The 23,755-nt window shown below is 46.9% G+C and overlaps 1 protein-coding gene across 18 annotated transcripts in view, besides 10 other annotated features; it reads right to left on the bottom strand.

The window, feature by feature from the left end:
* MBP (myelin basic protein) overlaps positions 1-23,755 on the bottom strand; it is a 154,876-nt gene that overhangs the window by 125,155 nt on the left and 5,966 nt on the right. For 15 of the 18 annotated variants that reach the window (XM_047437533.1, XM_047437532.1, NM_001025101.2 and 12 more), the window contains exon 2: positions 1,224-1,299. In XM_047437533.1, the coding sequence (XP_047293489.1) occupies positions 1,224-1,274 (51 nt within the window). In that variant the 5' untranslated portion in view covers positions 1,275-1,299. Of the gene's footprint in view, positions 1-1,223; positions 1,300-1,974; positions 23,662-23,755 lie in introns of all 18 variants that reach the window. The other 3 variants (XM_047437528.1, XM_047437522.1, XM_047437527.1) reach the window with 1 other exon arrangement.
* Positions 2,418-2,467: an enhancer, noted in NCBI's record as "active region_13528". NCBI's record gives its function as "activates an Ori minimal core promoter by ATAC-STARR-seq in GM12878 lymphoblastoid cells {active_cell/tissue: GM12878}" and the evidence as "EXISTENCE:reporter gene assay evidence [ECO:0000049][PMID:35858748]".
* Positions 7,424-7,925: an enhancer, noted in NCBI's record as "H3K4me1 hESC enhancer chr18:74823367-74823868 (GRCh37/hg19 assembly coordinates)". NCBI's record gives its function as "activates a minimal SCP1, AML or CMV promoter by ChIP-STARR-seq in naive H9 embryonic stem cells {active_cell/tissue: H9 hESC(naive)}" and the evidence as "EXISTENCE:reporter gene assay evidence [ECO:0000049][PMID:30033119]".
* Positions 7,926-8,427: an enhancer, noted in NCBI's record as "H3K4me1 hESC enhancer chr18:74823869-74824370 (GRCh37/hg19 assembly coordinates)". NCBI's record gives its function as "activates a minimal SCP1, AML or CMV promoter by ChIP-STARR-seq in naive H9 embryonic stem cells {active_cell/tissue: H9 hESC(naive)}" and the evidence as "EXISTENCE:reporter gene assay evidence [ECO:0000049][PMID:30033119]".
* Positions 9,538-10,085: an enhancer, noted in NCBI's record as "H3K4me1 hESC enhancer chr18:74825481-74826028 (GRCh37/hg19 assembly coordinates)". NCBI's record gives its function as "activates a minimal SCP1, AML or CMV promoter by ChIP-STARR-seq in primed H9 embryonic stem cells {active_cell/tissue: H9 hESC(primed)}" and the evidence as "EXISTENCE:reporter gene assay evidence [ECO:0000049][PMID:30033119]".
* Positions 14,582-15,082: an enhancer, noted in NCBI's record as "H3K27ac hESC enhancer chr18:74830525-74831025 (GRCh37/hg19 assembly coordinates)". NCBI's record gives its function as "activates a minimal SCP1, AML or CMV promoter by ChIP-STARR-seq in primed H9 embryonic stem cells {active_cell/tissue: H9 hESC(primed)}" and the evidence as "EXISTENCE:reporter gene assay evidence [ECO:0000049][PMID:30033119]".
* Positions 15,665-16,273: an enhancer, noted in NCBI's record as "H3K27ac-H3K4me1 hESC enhancer chr18:74831608-74832216 (GRCh37/hg19 assembly coordinates)". NCBI's record gives its function as "activates a minimal SCP1, AML or CMV promoter by ChIP-STARR-seq in naive and primed H9 embryonic stem cells {active_cell/tissue: H9 hESC(naive and primed)}" and the evidence as "EXISTENCE:reporter gene assay evidence [ECO:0000049][PMID:30033119]".
* Positions 16,274-16,882: an enhancer, noted in NCBI's record as "H3K27ac-H3K4me1 hESC enhancer chr18:74832217-74832825 (GRCh37/hg19 assembly coordinates)". NCBI's record gives its function as "activates a minimal SCP1, AML or CMV promoter by ChIP-STARR-seq in primed H9 embryonic stem cells {active_cell/tissue: H9 hESC(primed)}" and the evidence as "EXISTENCE:reporter gene assay evidence [ECO:0000049][PMID:30033119]".
* Positions 19,368-20,301: an enhancer, noted in NCBI's record as "H3K27ac-H3K4me1 hESC enhancer chr18:74835311-74836244 (GRCh37/hg19 assembly coordinates)". NCBI's record gives its function as "activates a minimal SCP1, AML or CMV promoter by ChIP-STARR-seq in naive H9 embryonic stem cells {active_cell/tissue: H9 hESC(naive)}" and the evidence as "EXISTENCE:reporter gene assay evidence [ECO:0000049][PMID:30033119]".
* Positions 20,680-20,739: an enhancer, noted in NCBI's record as "active region_13529". NCBI's record gives its function as "activates an Ori minimal core promoter by ATAC-STARR-seq in GM12878 lymphoblastoid cells {active_cell/tissue: GM12878}" and the evidence as "EXISTENCE:reporter gene assay evidence [ECO:0000049][PMID:35858748]".
* Positions 20,780-20,889: an enhancer, noted in NCBI's record as "active region_13530". NCBI's record gives its function as "activates an Ori minimal core promoter by ATAC-STARR-seq in GM12878 lymphoblastoid cells {active_cell/tissue: GM12878}" and the evidence as "EXISTENCE:reporter gene assay evidence [ECO:0000049][PMID:35858748]".

Here is a 23,755-nt window from a genome sequence, read left to right on the forward strand (position 1 = left end):
TTAATTTGCAGTTTCCCGTTTAACTGTATTTTCCAAATGTTCCCTGACAAGGGTTACGAATGGGCTGTAGAGGAGCCGCCACTGGAAAGTCCAGTGACAGTGAGACTGAAGAAGGGCTGGAGCCAGAGGCTGAGGACCTTGGACTTTAGTCTGCGCTAAGGACTTCCTGGAAGTTCTAGGGGCAGAAGGGTGATGATCCAGTCAATAGAGGAAAATCCTGGCAGCCAAAGTACAAGACACATGGGAGCAGGAGGAACGTGGAACCTTGGCTGTAGAGCCCGGAGAGCTTTGAAAAATGCCCACGTCTGCATTGGGATCTAAGGAGGGCAAAGACCCTGGCAGGTCTGAAGTCTCTGGGAGATTCCAATATGCAGGCAGGCCAGAGCATGACCCCAAAGGAAGGAGAACTGGTGAGGAGCCAAGTAGCCGCACGCAGGAGAAAGGAGGTTATCGATCTAGGAGAGGGCCAAGGAAACAGCTCAAGTATTTCCTGTCCTTTCGCCAGACCTCTGGGATTCAGTGTGAGTTCTTCCAGAACCAGACCAGAGTGCAAAGTCAGAGCAAACTCCATGGTGGGTGAGAAGAAAGGAGTGGGACCTTCGTAGATGGAATTAGGTTTTTGAGCTAAAAGAAAGTCTGATGTGTTTCACTGTTTATGAATTGGTGTAAATTTTCATGCTCTATCAAACCAGCAGCTAGTTAGAGAGAATGCAGTTTGGAAATACCTTTTTCTAAAAAATAAAAATGTTAAAAAAAATCAAAAGTATTTTTGCATCAGAACAAAGGAATTTACAATCTCTTTCCTCTCTGAGAGCCTCCTGATACTTCTAGGACCAATCACAGAATGTGGACCAAGAGGAAGGGCTGCTTCGTCTTCCTCTCCTCCTGGTTTCCCTCTTTCTCTTTCTTCTTCTCCGTGTCTCTTTTTTCCTCCCTTTCTTTCTTCTTCCTAACTCCTTCCCTTCCTTCATTCCTTTATTCCTTTGCAAGGTCAGGATGTACCTACTGCCATGCAATCTTCCTGAATAAATTAATAATTAATAATCAATCGTAATAAATCATAATTAATTATTAATAATAATTAACAAGGACCAGGCTTCCACCCAGCTGTCAGGGAAGAGTGTAGCAGCAAGAGCCCATGCCCGTAGCCTCTGACACACCAAGGGGATTTGTGTTTAATAAGAAAACAACATGCACATGTTTCGGATCAGCTCACGTCTTACCGTACTGGCCTTCTCGGCATTTAATTCTCGTTTGCCTGCGTGGTTTCCCATCCTGAATGGATTGGCTCTTCAGAGGCTAAAAGAGAAAGAGAAAGTGTCAGCCCTAAGTCTAGTGCTCTTAGAGTTTTCGATGTTGTTTTTCCATCAGAAAGACAATCCTGTGATATATGTAATGCCCATTTTTGAGAAGACGAAACCAAGGCCCTGAAAACAGAAGAGACACGTCCAAGTCATCTTATTAACACATGCTATCTTTCCATCCCATGCAAAGAGCTAGAAAACAGAACCGCACCAACATCCAAATTCTGTTCAGTAACACACTTCAACCTGTCTTGAGAAATCTTGCAGATCTGTGTATATGTACAGAAATATCTATCTATTCATCCACCCATCCATCTATCCATTCATACCTATGTACACACACAGAGAATTATATCCCATACTCAGGTGCATTGTTATGAGATGAGCTGAGATGTCAGAAAGGTGCTGACACTCTTCTAAAACTAAAAGGTAGTAAGAAGCTATTCATGCTCACTGCTTTAAAGAAACCATGTGAGCACAGAAAGAGCCAACATTAGACCAAGGACAGCTTAACAGACAAGTGTCCAAAGAATCTGCAGAATTTGTAGGGAAGATAAAGATGGATTTAAAAACCACATTACTCCTCATTTTTATTTTCTAACCCAAACCTTAGCAGCACATTTATGATTTTTCCCCAAGATATGCAAAGAACGGAAGAATTGAGCCACACCCATTCCAAGCAAATTGCTCCTTCCAGCCTTCCTGCGGAACCTGCCCTGGCCTTGGGGCTCTTCAGCTGAGGGCCACTGGAACCATCAGCCCAGACCACGCTGCAGGTGACCAGAGTCTTTAAGGACAATGACAACATGTTTTCCATGATGGATGTATTCTTTTGCAAAAAGGTGTGAGTACCCATTCTCCTGTAGAACCCAGGAACAGCTTTCCTTGAGAGGGAACAAGATGAACTGTCTTCTGAACACGGGGAGAGAGGACTCTCCAAAATAGTAGATACACCCGAACACAATGCAAATTGTGTTCCTCAAAAGTCTCTCTTTAGAAAAGAGAATTGCCTGACAGCTGAGCTTTTCCATCTCCCATGTTACCGGGGTCCCTTTTTGGTGGCTCAGGAAGACTGGCTGAGGACACTTTTCTGCAGGCGGGCACCCCCATCACCCCACAGCCACTGGAAGGATTGCTGAGAAGAGAAGCAAACGCCTACAGCACAGTCGCCACTCCCGGAGTCCACCTCCCTCACGTGTGTGGGAGACGACTAGCAGCCGACCACAGACTGGAAACCCCACCCACCTTCAGGGTGTGTGATGAAACTGGGGCCCACGATAAGACTTCCGGTGAGGGGCTCGTGCAGGGAGATTTAAAACACGTGTACTTCAAGCAACTTAGGTCAAAGTGCCCACAGATGAGGCTCTGCGAAATCAAAGACGCGGTTCTAGTGATGATATAAACACAACCCACCTGCAAGAATCAGGTGCCTTCCCCATGCTTCATGGCATGAGAGTGAAAAAAGCAATAATAGTTTGATATGTATGATTTTAAAAACGCAAGGCTACCTTTGCGGATGATTTCGGTGTCCAGTGTGATTCTACCTTCCCAATTTATTTAAATTGGACAACCAAAAAAACCTTGAAGGGGCATTCTTCTCATTGGGAAATGAGGGTTTGTTGCACATGTGGTGCCTTACTGGATAAGAATGGGTTAACCAAGGGAAAGGCCAAATTCACTGTGTCCTTTTAGGGTCTAAGAAAGAAGGGGTGTGTTCCTTGTGAGGTGTCGTTTGAACCCTGGGTACACAGGGGCTGTCATTCCCTAATTCTGCCTCTCTAATTCCATGTGGTGTTGTTTTAACTAAATATTAAGAGCTTGCAGGATGGACACACATTATAGAATAAAAACATGTCAAATATCTGTCAATCCATCTTTCTGTTTAAGAAATAAGAGCTGGTCTATTCAAAGCTAAACACAGGCAAAAACAGGTAACTTCCTTTAGTTAAGGTTGACAACTTGGACCTTTGGGGGCATTTTGCCCATCCAGACATAAATGAACCTCCTATCACCGGCTGTGTTCTCCAAGTGCCTGTTCCTGGCCCAGGCATCATCTCATCTCTGCCTCCTGTGAGCCCTCGCCTGCCCAGTCCCCTTCCTGTTCCCTGGCTCTATCCGTTTCTCACCCTCCTCCTCCCACCTCCTTATGCTGGGACTAGGCAAACACAAATGCAACACTCACTCCTTCCAGGAAACAAAGCTCCAAGGACTTGTCCCAAATCAGAATAGTGTGGGCCATGTAAATATTTTGGGACTTGCTGGTAGACAAAGAGAGCTATTTTTGGGCAAGGGGCTCTTGAACGCAGCTGAAATCTGTCCACAAGGTGCTGAACTGCTCCTTGGAGAGGGGCCATGTTTCTTCCGAATCAGTTTGTTCTGATCAAATGTTGTCATGCTTCATAGCACAACTCTAGGTTACGCTTGGGATGATTGATCTTAATCATGATTTAGAAAACTCAAGAATACTGGACACAGAATTGGTGAAAATAACTCAAGTCCAGATCAGACTTTTGAATACATCTTGTTGGATTTGACTAGTTAGACAAGCCTACTTACTTGCATTTGACTGGCCTCTCAGATTAATATAAAGAATATTTATATGAATCACTGAGGGTTGGTTAATTCTAGCCTTAAATGCAAAATTTATATACTAGCAGGAAAAGAAAGACAAGAGGAACAAAACGACAACTTGATGTGTGGGAGCCCCCATCAGAGCCGTTAGTGGAAATGGCCCCTGAGCACCGGTAAGTGAGACGTGTCTCAAGGAACTATGGTGGGAACGACAGAGCATCTGGCTGATAATCACGAGTGACTGGCAGTCTGCCTTATTAGCTTCTGACACTCTGCCCCAGTCTGCCTTTTAGAGAAGAGCTCGAGAAGGATGAAGCTCTCACTGTCACGGGGCTAAGAGCTCAGCCTGGCAGCTGGTTTCTGTAATGTGCTGAAAAGATCCATCTGCACACAAAAGCAGCTGCATGCTTGGAGGAAATCTTTTTTATTTCATTTTTTGCAATTAATCAAATTGAGAGAGCCAGAGAAAAATTGGGTAAACATGTGAAATGCTGCAAGGAAAGTCAGCTGACTCTGAAGCATCTCTTGGGTAATTAAAGAAGCCTTTTGTAAACTAATAGAAAAGGAAAGAGAGGGAGGAAGAACTGAGCTAGAGCTGTGGGAGGGACAGACTTTCAGATTCCATCAGGACCGCTGAGACTTCCGCGGTCTCAGTTGGTATTCAGTTCTAGATCCGATTTCCAGCCACTGGGATGACTGGACACTTTGATAATGTCTGTGTGATTATCAACACTTAGTGTTACCTCGAGGGTTAACATTGGGCACAGGCAAAGTTAGTCACCCAGATTTACTAGGAAGCAGTCCACTGTTGTTGACTGTTAGGCTCTCGTTTTTAATAATGTACACCTAAAGCAGCTTAGACTACATGTCACCTTGGTGGAACCACAGGATAATTCAGCATAGATAAAACTCACTAGCCTATCTGTGCAGGGAAATAGCTCCCAGCTGAAATGCTGGGGAACAAACACCTTGTTCCTAGGTATTTTACTGATTTCATTCTCTAGGTAGTTCTGACTTTCTACGGTGAAAATCAGGCAGGTGAGACCTAGGTCTCAATCCAGGTTCCATCTGGGTGACCCCGAACAAGACTCCACTTTTCTGAGCCTCAGTTTCCCATAAAGTAGAGGTAATAAAACTTGCCTTTCTGCACTGGTGTGAGAATGAAGCCCATGTGGGCTGCAGGGCTGGGCAGGGCTAGGGTTAGGGTTGGGGTATGCTGCAGGCGTTGCTTTGCTTTCTGTCTTCCTCTTACCTCCACCAGGTCCAGGGTTCCCTGGGTGGGTGGTGAGCAGCTGCAGAAACATCGCTACCTACTTACTATCACACATGTTCAGAGACCTCTAGATGGCTTCCCACATCTAGATGCATCCACTCCTAAACTGACAAGGTCAAGGGAAGAAAAAAGGCTAAAAACACCAGCTGCCCAGAAGTTACATCCTACAATTGCCTGTCAACAAAGCTCTTGATCCAACACACACAACTGAAGCACAGGGGAAATGCAACTGCTGCTGCTTTAAGACCACACAAAGTGTCCTGGGGTGTGGAAGGTGAGGAAAGAGGGAAAAAAGTGAAGAGGAAGGACATTCACGAGACAGCCATGCCCCAAACGCCAGACAAGTATTCAAATATTAAAATGTGAAACTGGCTGTTTTTGAAATAATTGTGAGTGCAATTTTACAAGCAATGGGATTATTGTGAAATCCCTTGTAGAAATAAATGCATCGTGAGATAGAGAAGACCTCAATGCCAGTCTTCCTAGATAGTTGGCACTTGGTTACCCAAATCATCTTACTCCCACTCCCAAACCTGCAAAAATGTAGGGAGCAAACATCGTGCCTGTTGAGGGTTAGGCTGACAAGCATGTCAGGTGCCATAATGCAAGGTCAAGTTTATGATGGCGTGGAATTCATCATATGCTCTCCGCACTTCATTTTGTTTAGGCTTATTAGCAAAACATTTGCATTGTGTAGAGCTGCAGGGTATACCCATATTATAGGACACAGATCACGCTTGTGTTACTTTTAGACTTAGGATTCTTTGGACGTTGTTTTCATAACATGCTTTTGATTGCACAGTTTTTTTTTGAGTCCATGTTCAAGAAAGCAATCCTAAAGTAATGTTTCTATGGAGATAACAGGATTTATTTTACAATGATTTGCTTTATCCCTCATGTTTCTATAAACCTAAGTTAGATAATTACAGGAATAACCCTGTAAGCTTCATTCCCATTTTACAGTTGAGAAAGTTTAGAAGACTGAATCTAGCTATGAGAATGCCTCTAGGAATATATTTTAGTTATGAACAGAGTTATTTACATTTTGAATGTCCCATGTGGAAAGTATGACAGTAGGCCTAAGACATTCTACATTCCTAAATTATTAATCAATACAATAAGAGAAGTGTGCAGTGGTGAGGGTCTCAGAAGCGGATACGAGGCAGCGTGATGCGGTGTGGGGACCGGCCATCAGCACCTGAGAACTTCTTAGAAACACACATTCTTGGGCCCTGAACTCTTTGCTTTCAGAAGCACTACAGGTGATTTGTGTTCGAGAACCTTCTTCTTATAGATCAGGGGGCAAAAACCTATGACATATGTGAATTTTTTTTTTTTTTTCAGAATAGAGATTTCCCATGCTTGTGTCACAAGGACCTTCTCCCCAGTCCCCCACCTTCCCTTCTCCATGTAGTGAGAGAACTGCCCCTCTCCCCACACCACCTGCCTTGCACTGGCCACCTGGCTGCCCTGGCAGGGACTACATTTCCCAGCAGCCCTTGCAGCTGTTGCTGGTCACCGCCGGACAAGGGGCCTTTCTCCATTCCATAAGTGTGTATGGAACTTTTGTTCTAAGACCACTTCCCTAGGCATCAGATAAATTAGATAAGATTTTTTTTTCTGTATTTGGAAACTGTAACATGTTATACCTAAACAGACACATGAGAATATATTATAAAACATATAAATTGTGGTTAATTTAATAAAATCTAACCAGCAGGATCCACTTGGGAAAGTCTTAACTTGTGCCTCTGCTAGTAGAATTTGAAGAGCCCACCATGAAGGCATCTTTTTCTGCTTTCTCTGCTTTTTAAAATCCCAGGAGCAATGTTTTCGACATCCCAGGTGCTTTGGAGTCTTCGCGGTGTACGGGACCTTAAAGCTGAGCTGGCTGTATTGCCTCGTGGCTGCTCCAGTCCTGTGCTAGACCTCTCGCTGGGTCTCGGGGTTCTCAGCGCCTGTTCAGAAAGCCTGGCAATGTTTGCCTGGGAGGAAAAGCTCCATAAATACACGCTGAAGACACGACTCTGTGGGTCCGTCAGATGAAACACAGCATCACCCAGCATCCACCGAGGAGCCCAGTGCTCATGGGCACGGTTCTGTATTTTGGAGGTGCCATGACTACAGCTTCTTGAAGAAGGCAACTAAGGGAAACGCTACTGTGGATCTGCACACATCAGAAAAGGCTTCTCTGACCCCTCAACTGTGTGCAAAATAATAAAGGAGATACCATGTAGAATTCAGGTAGAGAGAGGTGCAGACCCAGTATCCCAGGAAAGGAAAACCTGAATAAACAGTGGAACTGTGGAAATTCCAGAGGATTGTCGTGCCCCTTTGTAGAGACGCTAAAGGCCAGGCAGGGGCAGCAGCAGAAGGCTGTGGGCTGCAGGAAGGAGACCCCCACGGGAGGGCCCTGGTGTCGTGTGAGCCCTGGGCAGGTCCACTCGGTCTTGTGAGGCCTCTGCCTCCTCTCCAGCACCCAGGGCGGGATTCACCAGGGCCACCACCAACATGCTGAGACCTGGTGATCTCCTCAGCCGTTGGTAACTGCTTGGGAGACCACGCCCTGGCTTGGCAGGCTCAGTAAGAGCTGTAGACACCGCCCACCCTCCCTGCAGAGAGAAAACAGCCCCTCACCCCTAGAACACGGACAGTGACAGCCTCAAGTCGGAGGGGCAGGCCCTATAACTCTGCTTCTTTGACATTTGAAAAAGAAATCCTGGAGAACAAATTTCAAAGAACAAGCAACTCATATATAAAATAAAACCAAAGATATCTGAAAGAAAATAAATGAAACCAAGTGACGGGACTTCTCTTCTTTCACTATCCTTGTCTCCTTTCTCTCTCCCCCGACGTCCCTCCCTCCATTCCTCTTCCTCTTATTCTACCAATACCCAAGCACTGAAGACTGTGTTCTGCAAGCAATCATTTTTATTTCTCAAACCAAAAGTATGATTGTAACACTCTGTGTTCGGAGCATAGTACACAGCTACCAACGTCACCAAAAACCCGTAGAATGAACACCGTGCACACGCACACACACACACACACACACGTGCGCGCGCGGCAAAAAGAAACAGCTCATTTCGGAGCTGAGGACAAGGCGTGGGAAGAAGACGCGTTTGGTTTCACCCAGGCGGGTGGCGGCAAAGCTGTGGGATGCGCGCTGCACACTCCTTCCGTCATCCCGTTCCCACCTTCCACACACACCTGCGGGAGGTCGGACATGTCCTGATTGCGTGTTCATCACGATGGCAAACCGAACATGAGGAGAACGCCACTGACGCTGGGTGCGCCGGCTTTCCCAGCCCTCGTGCATAACGGGGAGGGAGATGCAGAAGTTTTTTCCAACATCGGTGCAAAGGGGAAGCTGAGGTTTTCCTATGGAGGAGGGTCAGATCCCTCTCTTCCTCATCTCCCTCCCCCTCCCCCTTCTCTGTTTCCAGCTCCCTGTGGACTCTGTCCCACCCACAAGCTCGAGGCTGCTGCCACATGGAAGGCCGGGAGAGAGACGGGCGGCCAGGACAGGGGCCGGCTGTTTGCAGGGGAGGCATGTGTGTGGAGAACGCCTAGGAGCACGTGGGTGGCCACGAACCCTGACCGTGCAGGTCGAGAAACTCTTCCAGGATAGTATGTGGTGGATCGTGTCTGCCTAAAAGGTATGTCCAAGTCCTGACCCCAGGACCTGTGAAGGTGGCCTGATTTGGAAGGAAGGTTTTGTAGATGTCCTCAAGTTAAGATGAGGTCATCCTGGATTACAGTGGGCTCTAAATGCAATGACTGATGTTCTTACAAGAGAAAGGAGAGGGATTTTTTTTTTTGAGACAGAGTTTCACTCTTGTTGCCGAGGCTGGAGTGCGATGGTGCGATCTCAGCTCACTGCCACCTCCGCCTCCCGGGTTCAAGCAATCTCCTGCCTCAGACTCCAGAGTAGCTGGGATTACAGGTGTCCGCCACCACACCTGGCTAATTTTTTGTATTTTTAGTAGAGATGGGGGTTTCACCATGTTGGCCAGGCTGGTCTCGAACTCCTGACCTTAGGTGATCCACCCATCTCAGCCTCCCAAAATGCTGGGATTAGAGGCATGCAGCACTGTGCCTGGTCAAGGAGAGGGAATTTTGGACATAGATACACGGCATTTCACACAGGGAGAAACACCACATGACAATGGAGGCAGAGATTTGGAATGACATGGCTACAAGGCCAGGGACACCAGGGATTGCCGCAGCCACCAGAAGCTGGAAGAGGTGAAGACAGAGCCTCCTGCAGAGCTCCCACTCTGCCAACGCCTTGACTTTGCACTTCTGGCCTCCAGGACTGTGTGTGTGTGGGGGGCTGCTTCTGCTGTTTCAGGACGCCCACCTGTGGTGCCGCCTTGCAGCAGCCCTACAGGGTAACATGCAGGGAAGTGGGAAGTAAGTGGAGACTTGCAGGATGCAGAAGGTGCAGGTGAAGGTGCTGAGGAGGGAAACAGCGTTCTGGGCAGAGGGCACGGCTGTGCAAAGGCCCTGTTGCACAGACACTGTGAGTGGAGTTTGAGTGTGGCATGAAGTGACCTAATAGAACAGAATCTGCGAATGCACGGGGTGCACTCATGGGGGGATTGGGGGAGTGACTTAGACCACGCACACAGACAATGTTCTTCACCCGTTTTGAACAGTGAGTCAATTCTGCCCATGAGCAAGTCTTCCAGACTGTTGGGCCCTAGACGAAGAACGACCTGCAAGCCGGGAATTCTCTGCAAAGGACAATGTCAAAACTCATCTGAGGCATCCATGTCTGTCCTACAGCAAGCTTCCCCGTGACACTGGAGGGACCTAGGCTCCCGGCAGTTTTCAGGAGCCAGCCCTGGGCTAGGGGCTCCACAGTACTTGCAAACAAAGAGTTCCAAAAACCCAATTTGCATTCACCCATGTAAGAAGTGCCTGATAAGGAAGTAGCGTCTCTATTTCCTGGGATGGGGATTTTTGCTCTGGGGTATCAGATAATATTATTTGTAAGCTAGTCATCACCATCCTTCGTTTTCTTCTGCCTTAGCAGATTCAGGTAGATTTATGGCACTGACTATCACTGCTTTAAAGTTATCAAAAATCACTTTAAAAGAAAATGACGAGATTGCAGAAAAGTGGAGTTTATTGAAAATCTGACTGTGGTCCCTTGAAGTTACTGCTTACAGGATCAGCTGACTTTGGAGAGAAAGCCATTATCAGAATCAAGCAGCAAATTACTGGCCCCAGAGTTCCTAGCTTGCTACAATATCAGCTGTCTAAACCAAAACAAAGCATTTTGTTGAAGCGGGGAAAAAAAGGCAGATCAAAGAGTAGCTCATCCACGTGTCAGTTAGATTAGCATTTGAAATTCCTTGTGAATGTATCCACATGTTTATGACAGGCATGGTGTTCAGCTTTAGCAGCATTATGGGGAGTTACGAAATTCTCTGTGTAAAAATAGCGAGGTCATGAGGAAACCACTCTTGCTGTGTAAGTCCTGACAAGCCATGCCAACACCGTCACGCTGGGACTGGCCTTCGGATGGCACGGGGAGGGCAGAGTCACGCAGGCACACGTGACACGCCCTTGCTCTGCGGCCGGTGGGATCCCTGGTAGCTTCGCAGTCATGTGGGGCTTAGTCACAGGAGCATAGGTCAGGTCCTGCTGAGCCCCCTTTCCAAGTGTGCGGTGCGCAAGCCGCCCAACCCAGGGGCCGGCAGCTGGGACAGGGCGAGCAGTGGGCTGCAGGGAGGAAGTGGGGAAGGCCTGGGGGCAGACGTGCCTGGGCGAGGGCCTTCCTATTCCTGCTCTCCCTGTCTGCTCTGAGGATGTGGGCCCTGACCTCCTTATCTGTAAAGCCCTGATGGTGGATGCAGCTTCCTGGAGCTGCTGTGGAAACCACTGGTTAATATTTTACAGGTCGCTGGGTTACAAACTGTCAAGTCAGAGGAACACTACACGCTGGCACCAGCTGCTCCTCTGTAGCCACCCGTATGTCCCTCCTGAGCCGTGGCAGGGAGTGACACCTTTGCCAATACCACCATCCACAGGGTCAACATGACCCCGGGCCCTGGTCTTAGTAACTAGAGGAAACACACCGACTTCAGGCATTGCTCACAGCCAGAGCTGGTGTTAACTGAAGAATGTTTTAATTCACCTGCCGAGGAACTCACACATTCCTTGCCAGCAGGCACAATGGCTCTTGATAGCCTGTGTGCAGGGAACAAATGTGTTGGCCCCATGCTCAGGCCATGCGTACACATAAGAGCTGTCGTCTGGGTCTTGGCTAAAATAAACTGAATCTTCCCGAAAACACAGGTTCCTATTACGGAGTCCATGATAGGAAAGATGTTCAGCTCTGCTGCTATCATGGGGAAGTAGAGTGGTTGATCTGAAATCTCCAGATTCTAATCAAGGAGAAGAATGCTGTGCTGTGGCCACAGACCCCACCGTGGTCTCAAAGAAAACCTGGATCAGAGCCCATCTTCTGATCAGTGCCACACCTTCACATGGGTGTGCAGCATTTTACTGGGTGACTGCCTTTCAGAACCTTCTGGAATTTTCCAGATCCTTCCAGATTGCAATAAAGAAAAAGAATGCAATGTGTGGTCATTAATCTCAGCATGGTCCTGCAGAAGAACTGGCTCTGAGCTGATCTCCTAAGGGGCCCCACGTCTTCACATGGGTGTGTAGTATTTTACTGGGCAACTGCCTTTCAGAACCTTCTGGAATTTTCCAGAGCCTTCCAGGTTCTAATCAAGGAAAAGAAGGCAATGTGTGGTCATTAACCTCACTGTGGTCCCTCAGAAGACCTGGCTCTGAGCTGTCTCCTGAGGGGCCCCACATCTTCACATGAGTGTGCAGCACTTTACTGGGCAACTGCCTTTCAGAACCTTCTGGAACTTTCCAGAGTCTTCCAGGTTCTAATCAAGGAAAATAAGGCAATGTGTGGTCATTAACCTCACTGTGGTCCCTCAGAAGACCTGGCTCTGAGCTGTCTCCTGAGGGGCCCCACATCTTCACATGAGTGTGCAGCACTTTACTGGGCAACTGCCTTTCAGAACCTTCTGGAACTTTCCAGAGTCTTCCAGATTCTAATCAAGAAAGAGAATGCAATGTGTGGTCATTAACCTCACCATGGTCTCACGAAAGACCTGGCTCTGAGCTGATCTCCTAAAGGGCCCCATGTTTTCACATGGGCATGCAGCATTTTACCGGGTGAGTCCTTAACTTCGCAGGACACATTAGAAAGACAAAGGATGCTAGCAAGTGACAATTATATTTAAAGAAAAGGGCAGGAGACACAGCATGAAACAGAATGATGCATTGAACAGAACTAGATTTGGGCTCAGGAGAGCTTGGAGAGCAGCCAGCATCGACGGGGCGCTTACTATGGGCTAGGTGCTCATGCAACAGGTCAGAAGTATAGCTTCTTAGTCCTGTCTACTGTACAAGGAGGCAAGTGCTATTATTATGCTCCCCACTTTACAGACGTTGAAACTCATGAGGTTTAGAAAGCCCGAGTAATGCGTGACCAGCCTGGCCAACACGGCGAAACCCCGTCTCTGCTAAAAATACAAAACTTCACCGCGTATGGTGGTGCATGCCTGTAATCCCAGCTACTGGGAAGGCTGAGGCAGGAGAATCTCTTGAACCCAGTAGGCAGAGGTTGCACTGAGGCACTGAGTCGAGATTGGGCCACTGCACTCCAGCCTGGGAGACAGAGTGAGACTCTGTCTCAAAAAAAAAACAAAACAAACAAAGAAAGCAAGCCCAAGGAACACAAGTCCACACAGCAGGACCTGACACCAACACCAACAGGTCGGAGCTGAGCTGTGCTCCTGGCTGCTACGTGGTTTGTGACTTCACCAACCTGATGACCTGGTCTTTGGTTTCTTGATACTTGAAGTCCTGGATTTCTTACGGAAAAGACCTCCTTCAAAAGGCTAGAGGGTGCTTTCTCCTTCACGTCACATGTATGCTCTGAAGACTCAAAATATAGTAACAACTCCACAACTCATTTCCTTCTACATGAAAACTATCACAGAGTAACAATAAATTATGAAGAACTATAGGAATTTGTCATTAAGTGAAGTATCTTTTAAAACTCTGTTATTAAAAATGGCATTTAAATGAATGATTCAATAATAAACACCTAGCATGCATGGTGTATGTTATGAACATAAGACTGCCACTGAGCTTGCATTCTGAACTTGAACTTTTCGAGTGTTTTCTGCATGCCATTAAATTTCTACATGATATTTTTGGGCCTAAAAAGATCAGTAGCCTTCAAAAGGTGACGATTTATTATCACTAGGTAGAGGCCTTATAATTTTATGCCTACATCAAAATCAAGATTATCCAGGAAGGCTTTTCACAAGGGGTAAAGAACAGGGTTTGAAAGATGCAAACACGTTGGCAGAACACATTCATAGTTCCGTGGCTTGCCTGATAGATTGTGACTGTCCTGAAATTATAATAAAGTGTCTGAACTATTGATACTTCTCCAGAATTCCAGTATCTGTGGATGGGTTATTTCCTAGTTGACCCTGATCTCAGATTTTGAATGAGGTAGGTAACATCCTGAGACTGCACAGAACCTCTGAGCAGTGGGTTGGAGTGGGATAGGGGACGGTGCGTTGGAGTGGGATGGGGGTCAGTGGGTTGGGGTGGGACGGGGGTCAGTGGGTTGGAGTGGGATGGGGGTCAGTGGGTTGGAGTGGGATGGGTTGGAGTGGGACAGGGGACAGTGGGTTGGAGTGGGAGGGGGGACATTGGGTTGGGGTGGGACGGGGGTCAGTGGGTTGGGGCGGGATGGGGTCAGTGGGTTGGGGTGGGACGGGGACAGGGGGTTGGGGCGGGATGGGGGACAGTGGGTTGGGGTGGGATGGGGACAGTGGGTTGGGGCGGGATGGGGACAGTGGGTTGGGGCGGGATGGGGACAGTGGGTTGGGGCGGGATGGGGACAGTGGGTTGGGGTGGGATGGGGACAGTGGGTTGGGGTGGGATGGGGGACAGTGGGTTGGGGTGGGATGGGGACAGTGGGTTGGGGTGGGATGGGGGACAGTGGGTTGGGGTGGGATGGGGACAGTGGGTTGGGGTGGGATGGGGTCAGTGGGTTCGGGAGCAGGAGGCCTGTGTCCCACCCCATCTCTCCCCTAGGGTGGATTGGCCTCAGCCCGACTGCTTGGTCTCTCTGAGCTCCACCCACCACCCTCACAACATGGGCTGGATTCTGGGGGCTTTGCACCCAGCAGTTGGCACAGGACAGGCCTGTTCAGGTTTTAGCACAGTCGGCCATGATCCGTGAGCTGCTGACCTGGATTTTTCCCACTGGAGGCCAAATCCAAGAGGAAATGCAGGAAATCTCCCGTGTGAGTGTCTGCCCTGTGCTCGGCACCAGGGTTCACAGACAGAGACAGTGCGGAAAGCTGGATTCCAACACACAGGCCACCCGCCCCACCCACACACACACTCCACAGACACCACACACACACACACACACACACACACTACACACCACACACACACACACACTACATACCACACACACACACCACACACACACTCCACACACCCCCCACACTATATGCATACCACACACACCCTTCACAGACACCACACACACACCACACACACACACTCCAGATGCCACACACACTCCACACCCCCTACACACTATACGCACACCACACACACACTCCACAGACACTACAGACACACACCACACACACACTCCACAGACACTTCACACACACCAGACACACACCACACACACAGCCACAACACACCACACACCCATGTGCACACACACTACCACACATGGTGCTCCTTCCTGCTGTCCCAGGGCGCTGGAAGGACACACTCACACTACCCTTGGCTGTGAGACGCTGCCCGGCAGACACACTTTCCCTTGCACCCTGTCTGTGAGGGCAGCTGACAGGGGAAAGCGAAGACCACAGTTGGTCCCACAGGTCCCTGAGGTGGAGCTGGGGCAGCCATGGCTTGGAGCTGTGTAGTGGAGGTGTCACTTGCCCCAGCCCAGAACAGGCAGGGGCTTGGGGACCTGGAAGCCTCGGGAGAGGGCCGGAGGTGTCCTGGAAGCCACCAGGACCCTGTGGGGTGCTGAGAAGAGCCACTGTGTCACTGCCCGAGCACTGTTCTGCTTCCCCATCCCCACGTGTACTCCATCACCACCCCTGCCACAGGAGAGCACACCCAGCCGGGTCTCTGTCTTGTCACCATGGTGTCCCCAGGACCTAGCACAGTCCACAGCACACAGCAGGCACATGGTACACAGTAGGCACACAGCACATGGCAGGCACATGGTACATGGTAGGTACATGACACACAGTAGGCACACAATACCCAGCAGGCACACAGCACACAGTAGGCACACAGCAAGTGTTTGACAAATGCCTGTCAAGTGGATGAGAGAATGGCAAGGGAAGTGCTTGCTCTTCCCTCTTACCTCAAGCCGCGCCCACACAGCTCAACACCCTCCATGTGTGTCTGGAGAAGAGACCACCTGGTGAGCCCCAGGGAGCCGAGAGCAGGAGCCAGGACTTAAGGCTCCTCCCAGAAAACCGAAGCCTTGATTCTGGAGGGACAAGGGACACCCCAAGGGAAGTGTGTGAGCCTCCTGAGGAAATAGGGCTTGGCACCGAAGTTGGGGTGCTGCGGAAGAAGGGACTCAGAGAAAGTCAAGGTGGTCGTGGCTGTGGACCAGCTCCCTTCCCTGAGCTTGAGGCTGAAGCCTCAGCTGCAAAGTCCCCAGGAGACAGAGAGGGCCCTGGGGCAGCCACGGGAGAGGCCTGGGCGCAGTGGGAGCAGCTGCAGTGGCCCAGGCCACCCCCAGGTGACTCTCCTCCAGGGCAGACAGGGACCCTAACAGGGTGGGACAGACCCCAATGTCTCCAGAGACAGAGCAGGACCTGCAATTTAGGAAGAGCACAGCCGTGCTCAGCCCACGAAGCATGAATCCCGCCTTGTCTCGGGTGAGGTATGCTAAAGGGTTCGCTCTCGCTTGGTGCGAGCATTCTTCTGTGAATCCATTACGGGTCTCAAAGTCCTAATGCAGGGAACACACGCTCCCGTAGGCTTCTCCCAACGCTGGCAAAATAGAAACCTCTAAAATCTGGTCAGCCCTCGCGGCATCTGGTGCAGCTGTGACCGGCACGGCCAGGTGACCTCAGACGCGCTGCACACACCTGGGAGGCTGCAGAGGGGCAGCTGTGAAGTGGGGCTGTGACGCCCAGAGGCACTCAGGCATTCAGACCTGCACTGACCCGGGACAAAGACCTCAGCGTGGGGTGTTTTTCTTCCTTTCAGGAAGCCCCCCAGGCGCTGATTTGGGCCTGAGCTAGGCCTGCTTGAAGGAATGAATGAATGATGAATGAATGAATGCCCTCTGCCTGGCTTCTCCCTGCCAGTTTTCATATCTGGCTTTCTCTGGGCCTCCAGACTATTTTACAAAACGCATTGTTAGTCACGAGGTCTATCGCACCAGCAGCAGAAAATTCCAGAGAGAGTGGCAAGAAAAGTTCACCCGAGAAAAGGATGGGGAAATATTGGGATTCGGAAAACCACGTTACCGACCTTTGGAGCTGTCCTCTGAGCACAGGTGTCATGGTAATTAAGTGTCACTCCATGGAAAGAGGTCAGGAATAAACCTGTGTGTGTGCAATCGGTAAATTTTTCAAATTCCTCTTCTACACATGTTGTAAAAACAAACGAAGTTGAATCTACAAGATTTAGGACCCCGTGAGGATCAACCCATACAAAAATACCGCCAGGACCTTTTCTATGTTCTTGAGCAAATGCAGTTGTTTTGTTTTTGAAATTGTGTGAAACGTAATCCACATTTTAATGTACCTCCCATTAAAATTTAAGGTTGGGCACAGTGGCTCACGCCTGTAATCCCAGCACTTTGGGAGACCAAGTGGGAGGATCCCTTGAACCCAGGTGTTCGAGACAAGCTGGGGCAACATGGAGAGACTTTGTCTCCACAAAAAATAAAAATACAAAAATTAGCCTGGTGTGGCAGTGTGAGCCTGTCTGTGGTCCCAGCTACTCAGGGAGATTGAGGTGGGAGGGTCGTTTGAGCCCCAGAGATTGAGGGGTCAGTGAGCTGTGATCACACCACTGCACTCCAGACTGGGCAACAGAGGGAGACTGTGTCTCAAAAAAAAAAAAATAAATAAATAAGATTTTTACTTTAAGTTCCTATAGTACGTGTTATTTTGGTGTTGCTTATCTAGCCGTGTGTTTTAGTGTTAGGACTCTTTCCTAATGAGGCTTTAACCCTGGCATTTCACATACATTTAAACATGCGTGTTCAGGAAGGCTGCTGCCAGGCCTCAGCTCTTCTGAGTTCTCCCGCCCTGCATACACCCATTTTCAACCACTAGTCTGAAATGAATAAGGTGAGCTTCTAACATCTTGCTTAAATCCTCCTGTCTTCAAATATGTCTCGGCATATGAAAATAATGACAGAATAAAAGAGTCATCATCTCCCTTTAAAACTCACAATGCCTTTCATACAGCAATCTAAAATGATATATTGAAGCTGTCCACAGACGTGCTATGCCTGTTTCTGAAATACAATTGATTTATATTTATATTTATATTTCTCTTTATATTTCTAGAAAGACCAGCTGTAGCTGGTGCTCACACTTCATAAATCTTGCTCTCAAGCTGTCCCAAGGTTATTACATTTTCAGATAGCCGAAAGAACAGGAATAAAAACACCTGGAACACACAGCCTGCCACAACCCCATGTAAGAGAAAACCAGCTCCTCAAATATGTGAGAGTCTTTGTTGTTGTTGTTTTTGTCAAATTACTGAGTTAATTTATCTGGTATTTTCAGGCAACAATTTAAGCTGAATAAATCATGCCAGGTCTTTAGCTTCTGATTGGTGGAGAACAGATTTAGACACATGACTTCTGGAAAGTATAGGCTCTTGCTGTGTATCAGTTGGATGATGATGAGTAGAACTGGCAGAATCCGCCTCAGTTTATGCAACAAGTATTAGGGACTGTGCACTATGGTAGACATCAGTGGGGGCTAACACATGTTTTAACAGTTTTCCAGAACAGACGTTTGCAATGTAGCATTTAAGCCCCTTGTAAACAAAATGCTACCAAAACTGGAGAAGACAGCCATCCTTTTTGGAAGCTGTGCAAGGAAGGAGACAGCTGAGAAACAAGGGCAAGGAGGCGACTCCAGAAAGGAGTGGACTACGCCAATGATGAGCTGGGAATCCCAGCTAGAGTCTCAGCTAGAGTCCCGAGAAGTCTCTCAGATGGGCAAGCTGGGAGACGCTCAGGCAGCTCCCGGGACAGTGGAGGCCAAGTGGGAAGTGAACTGCGGCATAGAAGACAGCAAAACGTTACACTGTATTTTGTTTCTTTCTTTTCTTTAAATTTTTTATGAGACAGAATCTTGCTCTGTCACTCAGGCTGGAGTGCATTGGCGCAATCTGGGCTCACTGCAACCTCCGCCTCCCGGGTTCAAGCAGTTCTCCTGCCTCAGCCTCCCGAGTAGCTGGGATTACAGGCGCCCACCACCACGCCTGGCTAATTTTTGTATTTTCAGTAGAGACAGGGTTTCACCATGTTGGTCAGGCTGGTGTTGAACTCCTGACCTCAGTTGATCCTCCCGCCTCGGCCTCCCAAAGTGCTGGGATTACAGGCATGAGCCACCGCGCCCGGCTAGTATATTTTCCATTCAACATAATTCTGCCAGTTCTAGTCGTCATCATCCAGTCTACTCTACTCCTCTACCGAGCACAACCCCCTTCTTTAGAAAGCCAGCAGCATTTTGTATACATGGCAGGGTATTGAGCAAATATTTTGCCATGGGAAAATTACTTGGGAACTTCTAAGCTTCCTAATAAAACTATAAGCACTTCAAGGGCAAGAATGACATCTATTTTCTCTTAACATACCCTGAAATGGACGGCATAGTATTTTTGTACACAGTAGACACCAAGGAATTTTTAAAAAGTAATGGTACGTTTGCTGTATGTGAGGAGCCTACAACATAGTTCTATAATTTTTTGCTTTGATAGCAAGTTTAGCAAACATGGTAGCTTTCAACCATACAAGAAAGATGAAGAAAATGAGTATCCATAAACGTTCCTCATCAGATGAAGACTCACGCAGGACATAAAATGTTATTCTCTAAATATGGAAAAAGCATCAAAAATACATGATGCAAATAAAAATAAACTGTCAACAAAAAGCTTTAGTATCAATTAGTTATTCTAATGCAAATTCAATTTATCAGTGAAACAGAAAGGACTTCCTGATCACATGAAAGCACACATTTGAGAGCTTGTGTGGGTCTATTCAGATGAGCTGTGTCGACCTGGAAACACCGAGGCACTCACGGTCTGTTTCCTTCCTTCACTTACAGCAGCAATCCTAAGTTAACCCGGAGCTCATTAAAATACATATTCCTGGGCCCGACCCCAAGACTGTGGGGTGGTATGCCAGGGTGGGCCTAGGACTCTGCATTTAATTTGAATTCTCAGTGTAATGTGTGCAGGTGGCTGCAGACCACAGGAGCCAGCTTGTCCCCTCTCCTGGTGAGCAGGTCAGGGGGCCACGGCAGATGCTTGGCTTGGGAGTTGGGCGTCCAGCCACCAAGGCAATTCTGTCCCTGCTAGGACTCTAAACTGATCCAGGTAGCTTTGTTTTGTTTTCCGTGTGTATTGACCTCTGGAGCTTTAGGTTTCTTAATCAGGCTCCAGGTGAAAAGCAGATCTGAGTAGAGCATTTCTCTGTCTCTCTGGGTTGGTGGTCAGCCGGGAAGCAGCCTAGGGCACCTGCACGGAGTCTGCGGGTGGAGCTGCCCTGAGCTCCATCCCTTCCCAGCACAGGGCATTTTGCTCTTGCCTGCAGGGCAGCATGGGCACACCTTCCTACCTGGAAGGAGCAGGGCTCTCTGGGAGCATCCCGTGTCACCAGATGCCCCAAAAGACGGGCCGCAACACCAGCAGTCCCCTGAACTGCTGAGAAACCTCCCTTTCTCCAGCCTCCTGCCTCCCCCTCATCTCTGCCTCTGGGTCCTTTGTTTCCATGTTCTATCTCCTCTTTATTACTTGCCTTTTTATACATTGTATATGTGGTCTCTAATGTAAAATTAAACAGGTAATTTGGTTAATCACTTACTATGAATAAAACTTCATTTTCTTTCTTGACCTTTGGAAAATTGGGGAGCTGAATATTAATCCCTTTACTCTTAAAGGAAGTGAATTGATGTAAACATAAATCGCTAGAATAACTCTTCTGGCCACCACGCCTCCCACCCCCCACCCCGTGCTGGCCTCCTTTCTTGGGGCTCAGTAGCTGCTGTGGTCGCTGCCTGCACCTCCTTCCCCAGCTGCACCCCCGGAAGTGGGGGTTGGACGCGGGGCAGCTGGGGCCGCACTGGCCTGGGTGCCTGTCTCAGGTGAGTTCGGAGGGGATGGGAGAGGAAAGGAGCAAAGTCTCCCTCGGGGCCAGTGGGGGAGAGCCCACCCACAGGAGATAGGAGATAGGGCTTTGGGGACTTCCTGAGGCTGTTGAGCGGGCAGCCACACTTTACCTCCAGAGTTTCTGAGCCAGGTCGCCTGCAGAGTGACAGGAAGTGGGGCCCTGGTTTGCTGGCCTCTGTCTGAATCATGCTAGACTGCTCTTAGAGGCCCAGCTCATTATAAATCCTGGCAGCCAAGAAGGAAAAAGGGCTGGATCCCCATACAAATTTTGTTCCTTAAATCTTTTCAGATTTAGCTAGATTCTCATGGTTCTTCCTCAAGTCATGGGCTCAAGAGTGAGGTTGCAAACACCTAGTTAATCCCCAGGCCTGTGCTGAATCCAGCCCACTCCTCTGAGGTCCCGGCTCCTGCCCGTTTCTGCACGCTTCTCTTTTTAGATCAATTTCTTTATCCTTCCTTTCTGCACTTATATTACTTGAACAAATGACAACGAAGAGGAGGGAGACTGTCTCTCCTGCCCTTTCTTCTTCCTCTCCTTCGCCTTCCTTGTCATTGTCATGCTCTTACCAAATTTCAGTAATTTCACCTCCACACCTGCTTTCAGATTCCTTTGTGGGGCCTTCTAATCTTCCTCTCTAACACTTCATTATCGCTGGTGTCATTTCCCCCCAAACTTTACATTGGTTTATTTATTGCTAATATAAATTACTAATTAGTTCGAACATATTAAAAAGCACAGATAATAATCTACAAGACAACTGGCTTATCCTTTTCATCAAAAAAAGTAACACATTCTGTTATTTGTATAAAATCTCAAAATATTTTTAAGAAATAAAACCATGCAGAGACAGCCAATTCCCTCCCCTCCCCGAGATTAGAAGATAACATTACCTGGCTTCTATATGTCATATAATCCCACGTAATCATGACCACATGTTCTTTTGTGGATTTGAAAATTTTAAAGAAATAGAATAATACTATATATATTCATTTGCAGTTTGCTGGTTTCCATTCAACACTGTTATTTAGAATTTTGTCCATGTTGATACACAAAGTCTGGGTAGTTTAACTGTTGTAAGTAAATCATAGCGTAAATCTATAGCCCTACTCATGGGGAATTAGTGTGTTTCCCTCCTTTTTTTTTGTATCAAAACTTTTACTCGATAAAATATGTACACCTAGTTCAGTAGTGCTGAGAGGGAATTCATACCCTGAAATACTTATATTAGAAAGCAGGAAAAGTCTCAAATCAATAATCTAAGATCTAATTCAAGAAACCAAAAAAAAAAGAGCTAAATATATACAAACAAAGTAGAAGGAAGGAAATACCCAAGAAAGAAATCCCCAGGCCCACATGGTTTCACCGGAAATTTCTACTAAAACAGTTAAGGAGAAATTTATGGCAATTTTATACAATCTCTTCCAAAAGTTAGAACAAGTGGGAACACTTTCTAACTCATTTTATGAGGCCAGTTATCCTGATACTGAAACTAGCAAAGACTATACAAAAAATGAGAACTATAGATCAATATCTCACAAACACTTAGAGGCAAAAGTCCTCAACAAAATATTAGTAAAGTGAATCTAGCAACACATAAAAAAGTTATATACATGGCTAAGTGGAATATATATCAGATACTCAAGGGTGGGTCAGCATTAGAGAGTCAGTCAATCAACTATCCATCATACCATGAAGTCAAAGAAGAAAAATCTCATGAACATATAAATTGTCCCAGAAAAGACATTTGACAAAATACAACACACATTCATGAATAGACATGGACTATTGACTTGATAAAGAACATCCATAAAAATCCTATAGCTACATCATAATTGGTGGTAAAAACTCAGTGCTTTGCCCTTTAGGTCAGAATAAGGCAAGTTCTTGCAACTCTTATTGAATATAGCACTGGACATTCTAACCAGTACGGTAAGATAAGAAAAAGAAATAAAAAGTATATAAATTGGAAAGAAGAAATAAAACTATCCAATTTGCAGATAACATGATGATCTACATAGACAATCCCAAGAAATCTACCAAAAAAAATCCTCCTAGATCTAATAAGGCAGCTCAGTAGGTTGCAGAATGTGGACTGACACATAAAAATTACTCACAGTTCTACCTACTCCACAATAAACGTGGAAACTGAAGTTAAGACACAATGCCATTTAGAAATGCCCCAAAGAAAATAAAACACTTATGTACACTGTAAAGAAATTTCAGATTCAGAATCTGTGCACTGAAATTTATAAAACATTGATGAAAGAAGTTAAAGAAGACCTAATTACCCATAGAGAGACAACCTGTGATCATGGATTGGAAAACTCAACACAGTAGAACTATTAATTCTCCCTAATCTATACATTTGAAGAAATTCCTATCAAAATCCCAGCAAGGTTTTTGCACCCATAAACGCGCTATTCTAAAATTCATATGGAAAGGCCCAGAACCTACAATAGCTAACATAAGTTTTATAAAGAATAATAAAGTGGAAGGAAGTCACTCCACCTGATTAAAGTTGACTATGCAACTACAGTAATCAAGACAGTGTGCTCTTGGCAGAGAGACTGACATATAGACTAATGGAACAGAATAGAGAACCCAGAAATAGACCCACAGCAATAAGTGGAAACGGTTTTTAGCAAAGGTGCAAAAGCAATTTAATGGAAGAAGGATCACCTTTTCAACTAATAGTCCCGGAGCTATTGGACATTCGTTGGCAAAACCCAAACCAAACCAAAACAAATAAGCCTCAACCTAAACCTCACACCTCATACAAAAATTAACTCAAAATGGAAAATAGGCTTAAGTATAAAATGTGAAACTATAAAATTTGTAGGGAAAAAAGGAGAAAATCTTCGGGAACCTCAGGCTAGGTGAAGACTTAGACTTCACACCAAAAATCAAAATCCAAAAAAGGTAAAATTAATAAACTTGAATTCAACAAAATGTAAAACTTTCTGCAAAGGACTCTGTGAAGAGGGTGAAAAAACAAGATAAAGTGGTAGAAAATAATCACCGAGTGGTAAGGCCAGCATCTAGAAAATATAAAGAATTAGGAAAACTCAGTTGTTAAAACCAAACAATCCAATTAAAAAGTAGGCAAAAGACATGAACAGACTTTTCACTGAG

This window comes from Homo sapiens, chromosome 18 (assembly GCF_000001405.40).
Source record: "Homo sapiens chromosome 18, GRCh38.p14 Primary Assembly".
Classification (NCBI taxonomy): Eukaryota; Metazoa; Chordata; class Mammalia; order Primates; family Hominidae; genus Homo; species Homo sapiens.